At 48.7% G+C, this 12,464-nt stretch overlaps 1 long non-coding RNA gene across 1 annotated transcript in view, besides 3 other annotated features; it reads left to right on the forward strand.

Moving 5' to 3' along the window:
* Positions 2,874–2,923: an enhancer, noted in NCBI's record as "active region_5085". NCBI's record gives its function as "activates an Ori minimal core promoter by ATAC-STARR-seq in GM12878 lymphoblastoid cells {active_cell/tissue: GM12878}" and the evidence as "EXISTENCE:reporter gene assay evidence [ECO:0000049][PMID:35858748]".
* Positions 2,964–3,393: an enhancer, noted in NCBI's record as "active region_5086". NCBI's record gives its function as "activates an Ori minimal core promoter by ATAC-STARR-seq in GM12878 lymphoblastoid cells {active_cell/tissue: GM12878}" and the evidence as "EXISTENCE:reporter gene assay evidence [ECO:0000049][PMID:35858748]".
* LOC100130987 (uncharacterized) overlaps positions 3,243–12,464 on the forward strand; it is a 73,849-nt gene continuing 64,627 nt past the window's right edge. Inside the window, exons 1-2 of the long non-coding RNA NR_024469.1 lie at positions 3,243–3,601; positions 6,674–6,737. This is a non-coding gene — a long non-coding RNA (uncharacterized LOC100130987). The remainder of the gene's footprint in view (positions 3,602–6,673; positions 6,738–12,464) is intronic.
* Positions 3,614–3,663: a silencer, noted in NCBI's record as "silent region_3623". NCBI's record gives its function as "represses an Ori minimal core promoter by ATAC-STARR-seq in GM12878 lymphoblastoid cells {active_cell/tissue: GM12878}" and the evidence as "EXISTENCE:reporter gene assay evidence [ECO:0000049][PMID:35858748]".

The following is a 12,464-nucleotide window of genomic DNA, read 5'->3' on the forward strand; positions in this document are numbered from 1 at the left end:
AAGACTGGAGGGGAAACCGCATCAAAAATACAGACAAGAGGGTGCCGGGTGTGGTGGCTCATGCCTGTAATCCCAGCACTTTGGGAGGCTGAGGCAGGCGGATTGCTTGAGCCCAGGAGTTCGAGACCAGCCTGAGCAACATGGTGAAACCCCATCTCTACAAAACAAAACAAAACTACAAACAATTAGGAACCCTATTGGCTGGGTGCAGTGGCTCACGCCTGTAGTTCCAATACTTTGGGAGGCTAAGGTGGTTGGATCACCTGAGGTCAGGAGTTCGAGACCAGCCTGGCCAATGTGGCAAAACACTGTCTCTACTAAAAATACAAAAATTAGCTGGGTGTGGTGGCGTGCACTTGTAATCCCAGCTATTTGGGAGCCTGAGGCAGGAGAATTGCTCGAACCTGGGAGGCTGAGGTCGCAATGAGCCAAGATTGCGCCATTGCACTCCAGCTTGGGTGACAGAGTGAGACTCCGTCTCCAAAAAAAAATAAAAATAAAAAAAACCCTATGTATACACAAAGCTCACCCAAATTGCTAAAGGGGCAAAAAATAATAAGAAGGATATAAAATGAAAAGTAAATCTCACTCCTACTCTGTCCTCTAGTCCTTCACATCTACTCAGGCAATGACTTGTTACCAGCTGCCTTTGATGCCCTCCAGGTACCCCATGCTTATGTAATCAAATATATTGGTATGTGTATTTTTTAAAAATACAGACAATAGCATGTTAACATACTATTCTACACTTTGAAAATTGGTTCATATCAGAGTTCCACATCGGTACCGTGGTGTTATATATACATTGGTTTTCATCCAGGCTCCTGGCTCATAACCCTCATAGCCCTTGTTCAGTCTTTTGTTCTAATGTTGAGTGTGTCAGGCCTCAGGAGCAGGCCGCAGGAAACAACCTCTTGACATTCTGCCCTCCTCTCCCTTGCCCCAAGGCAGGGCTCTACTGTTCACCCTCACTTTCAGATTGTGGGTTATAAGACCCTCCCCAGAGAGACCCTCCTCCTCACTCTATACCCTGGTGTAAGGAATGCTGATGTCATGAAGCTTCCATTAAAAACCCAAGAGGACTGGCTTCTTGGAGCTCTGGGTAGCTGACCATGTGCAGGTTCCTCCCCGGTGGTGCACCTAGGGAGGGTGTGCACACTCCGCACCCTCCCCCGTGCACATCTTTTCACCTTTATCCTTTGTAGTATCCTTTATAATAAGCCACTAAACGTAAGTGTTTCTTTGAGTTCTGTGAGCTGCTCCAGCAAATTAATCAAACCGAAAGAGGGGATCGTGGGAACCCCAACTTGAAGCTGGTCAGGCAGAAGTTCTGGAGGCCTGGACTTTTGACTGGGATCTGAGGGGAGGGAGATGCAGTCTTGGGGGCTGAGCCTCAACCTGTGCGATCCGACACTATCTCCCGGTAGACAGAGTTGGAATTGAATTGGAGGCCACCCAGCTGGTCTGTTGCTTGGTGTGTGGGGAGAAAAACCCCACACCTTTTTTTTTTTTTTTTGAGATGGATTCTCACTCTTGTCCACCCAGGCTAGAGTGCAATGGCGCAATCTTGGCTCACTGCAACCACCACCTTCCAGGTTGAAGCGATTCTCCTGCCGCAGCCTCCCGAGTAGCTAGGATTACAGGTGCCCACCACCATGCCTGGCTAATTTTTTTTGGTATTTTTAGTAGAGATGGGGGTTTCACCATGCTGGCGAGGCTGGTCTCGAACTCCTGACCTCAGGTGATCCACCCGTTTCGGCCTCCCAAAACGCTAGGATTACAGGCGTGAGCCATTGCGCCTGGCCAACCCAATATCTTTGGTCACCAAAGTCTTACGTGTTGATAATTGTGATGGTGTGAGAGCAGAGGAAAAACGCCATTTGAGTTTTCCCCCCAAATAGTACATAAAAGATTTGCCTCATTTAAAAAATAACCACACATGTTCTATTTTATGGAATCCATCAGTTAAGTGGTCATTTATTGATGAACATTTAGGTTGTCTGAGGGCTCCCCCCCGCCCCCATTCCAGGTAATGCTTTATAAAGCACTTTTGTGGCCGGGCGGGGTGGCTCACGCCTGTAATCCCAGCACTTCGGGAGGCCAAGGCGGGTGGATAACGAGGTCAGGAGATCGAGACCATCCTGGCTAACACGGTGAAACCCCGTTTCTACTAAAAATACAAAAAAATTAGCCGGGCATGGTGGCGGGCGCCTGTAGTCCCAGCTACTCGGGAGAATGGCGTGAACCCGGGAGGCGGAGCTTGCAGTGAGCCGAGATAGTGCCACTGCACTCCAGCCTGGGCGACAGAGAGAGACTCCATCTCCAAAAAAAAAAATCTTTTCTTTTTTTTTTTTTGTGCCACGACGCTGGCTAATTTTCATATTTTTAGTAGAAGAGGGGGTCTCGCCATGTTGCCCAGGCTGGTCTCTAACTCCTGACCTCAGGTGATCCACCCCCTCCGTCTCCCAAAGTCCTGGGATTACAGACGTGAGCCACCGCGCCTGCCCCAATACCATCGTTTTCTAGAAATGAGGAAACTGAGGCTCAGAGAAGTAACTACTAATCTCTAACAGAGCCGGAATCAGATCCTAGGTTTCTAGATTCTCATTCCAAGAGACTAACGCGGGAGCGGGGAAGGTGGCTCCTGGGCAGTCAACTGACTGCACATTTCCGCCCAAGGCGGGACCTGGATCCAGAAGTGCTTGGAGCTCGCGGGTGGGAGGATCAGGATGACTGCTGCTCCCGGAGCCCGACTTCAACTCCCACCGGGCATAGGAGCCTCTCAGCAGCGCGAGGGGTCGCCCAGCCTGGACCTGGAACGCTTGCAGCACGACCGTCGCGCGCTTCCCTCCGGAACCAGCTCCCACCGTCACAGCCCCCTCCCTCGGCCGCTCCCGGCTCAGCCCAGGCTGGGGCGGGGCCTCGGAAGCAACTGCCCTCGCCCTAGCCAGGGCTGCCGCTTGTTAGGCCAAGTTTTCAAACGGCAAAATCAACCGCGCTGAAGAGACTGTGCCTCCTTCTCTTCACTCCGCATCCCAGACGCCTCAGAGAAACTACCTTTCAGACCTTCGCGGCCTCTCCTGCGCCCGCAGCGCCCGGCAGCTGGGGACCCGGGCTTAGCCACATCGACCGCAACGTTCGCGCGCCACCTTGTGTCCATTCCCTTAGCCTCCAGGGACAACCCGGAAACCACATTTCCCAGCGTGCCGAGCGCCTCTGCGCAGGCGCAAAGAGTTTCCCTCGTTGCCATGGGAACCTCGCCCCTTCTAGAGTCCTGGCCGCTTGACTCAGCTAAGCGCGAAGGTGTTGTTTCTTCCTGAGGTGCGCTGGGGCTGGGACCCGGTCTGCAGAAGGTCCAGGGGATGGCGTCGGGGGATTGAGGAGAGGAGACCAAGCCGGCCTTGCCTCCGGGACCAGCGCTTCCAAATTCTCTGGGGCGTCCCGGCGCGCACACGCTCCTGAGGCCTCGGCGTTCTGAGGAAAGGGGCTGGCGTGGCGACCCGGGTCCTCGAGGCCGAGATCTGGCTGTGGCCCGCGAAGCCCCGCTTGCCCGCGCCAGCGTCTTGTCACCCCGAGCCGAGGGCCTGCGCGCGGCCGACAGGTACTCCCGGGCGCTGGCAGCCCACGGGGAGGGTTCGCGGCGCAGGTGAACGCGGAGGTAGAATCAGACAGGGCAGTGAGTGCGCCCGGGGCTGGATCTGGCTCAGCCGCTGGTGGATTCGGAACCCGGGAGGCCCCCAGGCCCGGTGGGCTTCAGTTCCCACGCTCTGTAAAATGGGGCTTGGACTGGAATTCTAGTGTCCATTGAGATTCTGTTGCAGAGCAGCCCCCTGGCTCTGTGTGACCTACGAGTTCCTTCCTCTGTAAAATACGGAGGCTGAGACCGATGATCCTAACGTCTCTTCCTACGGTGCAGTATGTTACACACTGCTGGCCCCATTGCCCCTTATTGCACCCCAAGTGCAAGAAGAAAGAAGGGGACCTGGGATGATCTGAGCAAGACTCTCAGCTTGGGATCTAGAGTCAGAGAAACTTGGGTTTGTGACTTTGGGCAAAGTTAGGACATCTCTTGAGACTCAGCTTCTTCATTTGCAAGATTGGGGATAATGTTAATACTACCTCAGGTTTTTGAGGATTAAATGAGATGACGCATGTAAGTTTTTAGCCCAGGGACTGCATAGAGGAACTGCTATCCCAGGTCCCAACTATCGTTTCTGATAATTTCTACAATAGTCCCTAGCCACCATAAGACCTTTTCTTAATTTTTGAATTCACTTTATTTCTGGGCAAGTTCATTCTCCTAAGCAGGGCGGTTTTTTGCTTTTTGTTCGTTTGTTTATTTTGAGACAGGGTCTCACTGTCACCCAGGCTGGGGTGCGGTGGCGTGATCTCTGCTTACTGCAACCTCCTCCTCCTGGGTTCAAGCGATTATCGTGCCTCAGCCTCCTGAGTAGCTGGGACTACAGGCGTGTGCCATCGCTCCCGGCTAATTTTTGTATTTTTTGTTAGAGATGGGGTTTCACCATGTTGGCCAGGCTGGTCTCAAACTCCTGGCCTCAAGAGATCTGCCCGCCTCGGCCTCCCAAATTGTTGGGATTACAGGCGTGAGCCACCACACCTGGCTAGGCAGGATGGTTTTATAGGCTGATTTTGATGGGGAAACTTGAGTCTTTTCACCCAAGGTTGGATGCTCAAGGCCAGTGTATTGCCTCCCTTCAGCTGTAGGCTGAATTATAGCGTTACCACACAGCATTTAGGGAGGATGCAGGCTTAATGCCACATAGTAGGGTGGATACTTAAGATTCATAGAGGATGTGAGTACTTATGATGCAAAAACAGCTGAATATAGAATTATGTATTTACATAAGACTGGTTACTTTCATGGTTATAAAGAATGCGTAAGAATTCTATGCTGCTTGCATTGAGTTCAAGCTTTGTGTTAATTGAGAAAATTGTAACAAGGAGTTTTAAATTAATGAAAAAAGTATTTTAAAAATCTGGGAACATCCAATAATTTCACGAACAAGCCTTCATTCGTCCAACAAACATCTTTATATGGAAGCTATATTCCGTGAAATTTTTTTTTTTTTTTTGAGACGGAGTCTTGTCTCACTTTGTCTTTCAGGCTGGAGGGCAGTGGTGTGATCTCGGCTCACTGCACCCTCTGCCTCCTGGGTTCAAGCGATTCTCCTGCCTCAGCCTCTCAAGTAGCTGAGATTACAGGCACACGCCACCATGCCTGGCTAATTTTTGTATTTTTAGTAGAGATGAGGTTTCACCATGTTGGCCAGGCTGGTCTTGAACTCCTGACCTCAGGTGATCTGCCCACCTCAGCCTCCCAAAATGGTGGGATTACAGGTGTGAGCCACCACGCTTGGCTTTCCATGAATATTTTTTGAGCACCTACTGTGTACATGGAACTGTGCAGGGTGCTGTGAGGGATATGAAGATGTATAAGACACTCTCTGCCCTCAGGAAATACAGTCTAGTAGAGGAGATCAATTATGCATTTAAAACATATAAAATTCAAGTAGAAAGTGATGTGTCATAGAGAGGTCCAGGTTACTGCTCTGAAGATTCAGAGGCAGGAGAGATCGCTGTCGAGTCACACTGTGTAATGAGAGAATCAAGAAGACAGCTTCTGAACCTCCTAAAGCATGTAAACAATGTGGATATGCCAAGAAGTAGGGAAAAGATATTCTGGGCACCCATTCCATAGCTTTGAGATACATGAAGAAGAGCTATCTGCAGCCCTGATTAAATGGTGAGCTTCTGGGAGGCAGGGACTAGATTTTGGTCAGCGTTTTCCTCCCCTGATTGGCACATGGTTGCCATGGTAAATATTAGTGAATGAATAGGGGCTATGAGTTTCCTGTAGAGAGGAATGGAGCTGTGGTCTCTATATTACCCTGAAGCTCTTTTATTAGACTCACCTGCTGTCTCAGAGCCATTCTTCTAGGGGAAGGAAGCGAATGGGCAGATGATTATGGGGCAAGGGCCATATTGTTGGCATCTTTGGCACAGTACCAGCTGAGAGCCCAGGGAACAAGGTCTCATCAATGGATAGGGGGTTTGTGAGCCTCTTTCCCTGGAACTAAGGTGAAGAACCATGAGGGAAGGAAACGGAAGCATAGGACCATGCAGCAGTCCTCAGGCCAGTGATGGACACTCCCTTGACTCTTGTGTCCATTCTTGGCTTTTCTTTTTCTATGGCTCCTTCCTAGGGAGATTTCTCTCCCATCTGTGACCCAGTTGGGAGTGGGAAACTGTGTCCACCATGCCAGCAGATTGCCAAGGCCTGCCGCTGCTGCACAGGAAGGAAGCTGACTTCAGCCAGGGCCCTGCCATTCTCCAGTTCTGTCCAGGGCTGAACCTGCCCTAGGAGCTAGCCTTGAAGGAGACCCCTTAGAGACAGGTGTCTAATGGCCTGTGGAGGGGAGAATGACCTCAGGAGCTGGGATAGCAAAAGTAGAAAAGGTTGAAAGGAGAATGGCTTGAGGACAGGGCAAATCCTCCCAAGTCCTGTTTAATTCATCCAAGGTCTAGATTCCCCGTGGAATGTTTTGTTGCTCAGAAGGTGGAGTCATCCTTAGAACAAGGAAGCTGGGGAGAGATTAAGCAGGTGCAACCAGACAGGGGATAGAGCACAACTGGCTGTCCTTTTTGTCCCTAGATATGGGATGCTGGAGGACATCTGGGGGCCACAAATGCTCCTTCTCCTGGAGACGCAACTCAAGGTGAGCCTTTACACCATCCTTCTGGCAGCCCGTGCTCCCTCTCCAGAGAATGGTTCTTCCTTTTCATCCTCCTTTCCCACTTCACTCCCGCTCCACAGGCTGCAGGTAAGGGCCTGCAGTGTGTATCAGGATTTCCTTATAGCTAAGTGCATGTGAAGCCTGAGTAGCTCCAGGCCTGGTACTTGATAAGAGGTTATGACAGCCCAGTGCCTGCCATGGAGGCCTCTGTCCACCTACTTCAAGGGCGTTATGGTCCTATACAGTTTACTAAGCACTGGCACTTACATGTGATCTCATTTGACCTCAACAGCTGTAAGGTCTTGTATTGTGACTTTCACTTTTCCACGTGAGGGATCTGATTTCTTAGGTTGTAGGTCAAAGAACTAAATGATGCCACTGAGAGCAGTGATCTTTCCACCACCTCCATAATCACTGACAGGGTGCCATCTGCCTGCTAGTGAGAGCACGGTCCTAGGTTAACCTGAAACTAGACCAAGACTCTCCTTTGTTCCCATTTCAGCTAGAATTTACTGCCCATTTTCCTCAGCGTCTTATCTCAGCACAGCTTCTGCCTGTCATTGGACAAGTTTGATCTGAGTTTCTCTCTCACTCTCATGCTCTCAGTACATGCTGACTTGTTCTCAGGGCACTGAGAACTTGTGCTCTTCCCCTTGACTCTGCCAGGTGCACCCTCTCCCAGATAGGCACCCTGGGTAGCTGTGAGACTTCAGGGGATTCTGTATCTGGGTTAGAGAACCAGGAATAGGAAAACTGTTCTCCCACTGGGTGGGGAAGGAAGTTAGCAAAAGTTTGCCTGATGGGATTGGCCTGGATAGTAATGCTACACCCTATGCGACCCCATCTCATTGGCAGCCCTGGCAGAGCAGCTCAGTGAGCCACAGAGGTAAAGGTGGAAGGTGAGTGCGGCAGGGAATGTAAAGGCTCAGGCTAAAGGCTAAAGCAGGGTCCCACCTGCTGGCATAACTCAAGCCAGAGCCATGGAGGCGGAGGTGGGAGACAGGTTTGGGTAAAGGAGGATGCCCCTGGGGAGAGGGAGCTGGTTATATGCATCCTACCTAATTTATCTTCATATGGCCTGAGAAGGCTTGGAGCTGGCCTGCTTTGCCCAGAACAGCAGCAGCCTGTCTCCCCAGGCAGCACACACTGCTGTGCAGCTCCTCTCTTGGTTTGGCAGACCGACTCCCATCCTCTGATGGCCCTCGAGAGACCTTTTTCACACCCTCCACCCTGCCTGGTGGCTCAGCTAGATGCCTCCCGCAGCTCTGTCCACCGTCTGAGATCTGATCATCCCAAATGTTCCTATGCCAGGCTGAACTCTGCCTTCTCAGAATGTCCTCACTCCTGCCAACCCAAAGCTCTTATTTTCAACACAGAAATGGGAAATTGGGAGGGAGGCTGAGTGCCATGGGGCCTAGAGCATGTGGTTTGGAGGCAACCAATGGAATCATTTTGGGGTCAATGGGATGCCTGAGCTGATAAGCAGAGATCCCCCGTCCCTACTCCCGAATATCCCTGTGGTGGGTGGGGCTGTGTATAGCAAGGCCTATATGCAGCAAGATCCACAGGTGGTCCTCACTTGCCTACCCCACCATCCTGCTCCAGCTTCACCCTCACCCTCCACCTCAGCCCTGTTCATTCCTCTCTTCCCTCTTTCCCTCCTCTCCTCCCTCTAGGTAGTGCAAGCAGCAGCTGTTGACCCTAGGGGCACATATGCTTGCCTGGCCTATCTGCACTTGAGCTTCCTACGGGTGCCCATCTTGGCCTGCATGCTGCAGGACTTGCGCTTCTGGGCAGATAGCTCTGATTCTTCTCCTCTTCAAAAGGAAAAAGGACTCAGATAAGAGAAGACGTTAGGGAAAGAAGACTTGGAAGTACATGGAGGCTAGATAGGAAGGAACTAGGTGGAAGGGATGCTGTCGGAGAATAACTGAAGGCACCAGGGGCCCAGGGTAGCTGTAAGGGCCTAATGGTCCCTGGGACTGGGTTGTGGGGCCAGGTGAGGCTGGTCTGATGGAGGAGCTGTTCTTGGAAGGAGAATTCTGTTTCTGGCTAGACCCTTGTTTGAGTACAAGGAACTGTGAAGGATCCATTTGACAGGAAGCCTAGGATAAAACTAAACTCATTCTTTTTTCTTACAGCTCACCTCTGAGTCTTGAGCTCCAAACCAGCCCCTCCTGCTGACTTTTCCATTATCAATAGTCTCCTATACCCAGTTGTAAATCTCAGGGTAACGCTGACTTTCCACATTTAATCAATTATCAGATTCTGATAGTCCTTCACAAAACAGTTGCCTTTTGTCCCCACTTCCTTTACCCAGCCGAAGTCCCTGTTCCTACGCCTCAGCTACTGTGATAACTTTACAGCTGGTGATGCCCTTTAGTCTGTCCAGAGCACCTTAACTACACAGACGTATTCATCCCTTCGCATGTGTTACTCCTGTGTTAAATGCCTTTGGTGTGCTCTCTATGGCCTGCCAAGTGCAGTACAGACTCTATTCTGCACTGGAGTGCAGTGGCGTGATCTCAGCTCACTGCAACCTCCATCTCCCGGGTTCAAGCAATTCTCCTGTCTCAGCCTCCCAAGTAGCTGGAATTACAGGCGCGTGCCACTGTGCCTGGCTAATTTTTGTACTTTTAGTAGAAATAGGGTTTCACCATGTTGGCCAGGCTGGTCTCAAACTCCTGACCTTGTGATCTGCCCGCCTTGGCTTCCCAAAGTGCTGGGATTACAGGCATGAACCACTGCGCCCAGCCCAGACTCTCTATTCTTTTTTTTTTTTTTTTTTTTTTTTGAGACGGAGTCTGGCTGTCGCCCAGGCTGGAGTGCAGTGGCGCGATCTCGGCTTACTGCAGGCTCTGCCCCCCGGGGTTCACGCCATTCTCAGACTCTCTATTCTTTTGCTGAAGGCCTTTTATGAATCTGATGCCAGCCTACCTTTCTGGCTTTATCTCCCAGAACATCCTACGATGTACCTTTCACTCTCATCAAACTAGACTACCGACTGTTTCTCGAAAAACTTTTTCCACCTCTTCACCTTTGCTTATGCTTATCTTTCTGTCTGGGAAGGTTCCTTCCACCATTCATCTCTCCATTTAAAAATATTTTTTGAGCACTTTTTATTTTGAAAAATTTCAGTGCAGAGAAGTTGAAAGAGTAGTACAGTGAACAGTTATGTAACCTACACCTAGATTTGCCAGTTATTATTTACATGTTTCTTTCTTTTCTCTCTTTTTTTCCTGGACCAACTGAAAATAAGTTGCAGGCATTATGACACTTTACCCCTAAATATTTTGGTCTGTATCTCCTCATAATAAGGACATCATTCTACATAACCACAATCCTTTCTTTTCCTTTTTTTTTGAGACTGAGTCTCACTCTGTCACCAGGCTGGAGTGTAGTGGTGCGATCTTGGCCCACTGCAACCTCCGCCTGCCAGGTTCAAGCGATTCTCCTGCCTCAGCCTCCCAAGTAGCTGGGACTACAGGCGTGCACCACCACGCCCAGCTAATTATTTATTTATTTATTTATTTATTTTCGCCCAGCTAATTTTTGTACTTTTAGTAGAGATGGGGTTTCACCATGTTGGCCAGGATGGTCTCGATCTCTTGACCTCGTGATTTGCCTGCCCTGGCCTCCCAAAGTGCTGGAATTAAAGGCGTGAGCCACTGCGCCTGGCCAGTCTTTTCTTAAAAAAAAAAAAAAAAAGTCTGGGATTGAGTGTGGTGGCTCATGCCTGTAATCCCAGCACTTTGGGAGGCCAAGGTGGGAGGATCGCTTAAGGCCAGGATTCAAGACTAGCCTGGACAACATAGTGAGATTCCCATCTCTACAAAAATATTTAAAAATTAGCCTCGGTGACAAAGTGAGACCCTGTCTCAAAAAAAAAAGAAAAAAATGAAGAAGAAGGAAAAAAAAAAAGATAATGTGATTATTAGGCCAGGTGTGGTAGCTCATGCCTATAATCCCAGCACTTTGGGAGGCCAAGGCAGGAAGAGCACTTGAGCCCAGGAGGTTGAGGCTACAGTGAGCAATGTTCTTGCCACTGCACTCCAGCCTCAGCGACAGAGTGAGACCCTATTTGTAAAAAAAAAAAAAAAAAAAAAAAAAAGTTAAAAATTAACTGGGCACGCCAGGCGCGGTGGCTCACACTTGTAATCCCAGTACTTTGGGAGGCTGAGGTAAGTGGATCACGAGGTCAGGAGTTCGAGACCAGCCTGGCCAACATGGTGAAACCCCATCTTTACTGAAAATACAAAAATTAGCCTGGCGTGGTGGCGAGCACTTGTAATCCCAGCCGCTTGGGAGGCTGAGGCAGGAGAATCGCTTGAACCTGGGAGGCGGAGGTTGCAGTGAGCCGAGATCACCCCACTGCCTTCCAGCCTGGGCAACAGAGCGAGATTCCATCTCAAAAAAAAATTTTTTTTTTAACTGGGCATACTGGTGCTTGCCTATAGTCCCAACTACTCAGGGGGCTGAGACAATAGGATGGCTTGAGCCCAGGAGTTTGAGAGGCTGCAGTGAGCCATGATTGCACCGCTGCACTCCAGCCTGGATGACAGAGTGAGACACCGTCTCTAAAAAACAACAAAAAATAAAAATGTGGTAAAATATACATAAAATTTACTATTTTGCAGTTTTAAAGTATATAGTTGTGGCATTACGTACATTCACAATGTTGTGTAACTGTGACCACCATCCATTTCCAGAACTTTTTCATCATCACAAACAGAAACTGTGTACCCATTGAATGATAGCTCCCCATTCCCCCCGGTAACCTCAATTCTACTTTCTGTCTGTGAATTTGCCTCTTCTAATTACCTCATATAAGTTGAGACACACATTATTTGTCCTTTGATGTGTGGCTTATTTCACTTAGCATGTTTTTAAGGTTCACCCATGTTGTAGCACATGTTCAGAATTTCAATTTTTTTTTAAGGCTGAATAATATTCTCTTATATGGATAGACCACATTTTGTTTACCCATTCATCTGCTGATAGACGTTTGGAATGTTTTAGCCTTTGGCTGTTGTGAATATGCCGCCATAAACATTGGTTTACTAGTATCGGAGTCACTGCTTTCACTTCTTTAGGGTACATACTAAGAGTGGAATTGCTGGATAATATGGCAATTCTGTTAACTTTGTGAGAAACTGCCACACTGTTTTACAAAGTGACCAAGAAATAAAAATGCAGTATTATTATCTAGACTACAGATCATAATTACATTTCTCTAAATATCCCTATGTTTTCCATTACAGCTTTAAAAAATATCTGATTCAGGATTGAATGAGGGATCACTGATTGTATTTGGTCGTCATGTCTCTTGATTCTTCCTTAATTTAGAATAGTCTTCTTGTCTTTTTGTTTTTCATGACATTGACATTTTTGAAGAATCCAAGCTAGTTGGATATCCTTCAATTTGGGTCTCTTTGAATATTTCCTTATAATTAGATTCAGGGTAAGCCTTTTTGCAAGAATACTACATAATACTACAAGAATACTAAGGATATTGTATAACATATTCTTCCTATTTGTTGCATTACTTTAGTCATGTAATGTTGCTTTATCCCATTATTGATAATACTGTGTTTATTTTATTTTTTATTTTTATTTTTCTTTTGAGGCGGAGTTTCACTCTGTCGCCCAGGCTGGAGTGCAGTGGCACGGTTTCGGCTCAGTGCAACCTCTGCCTCCTGGGTTCAAGCG

This window comes from Homo sapiens, chromosome 11, assembly GCF_000001405.40.
Source record: "Homo sapiens chromosome 11, GRCh38.p14 Primary Assembly".
In the NCBI taxonomy this organism is placed as follows: domain Eukaryota; kingdom Metazoa; phylum Chordata; class Mammalia; order Primates; family Hominidae; genus Homo; species Homo sapiens.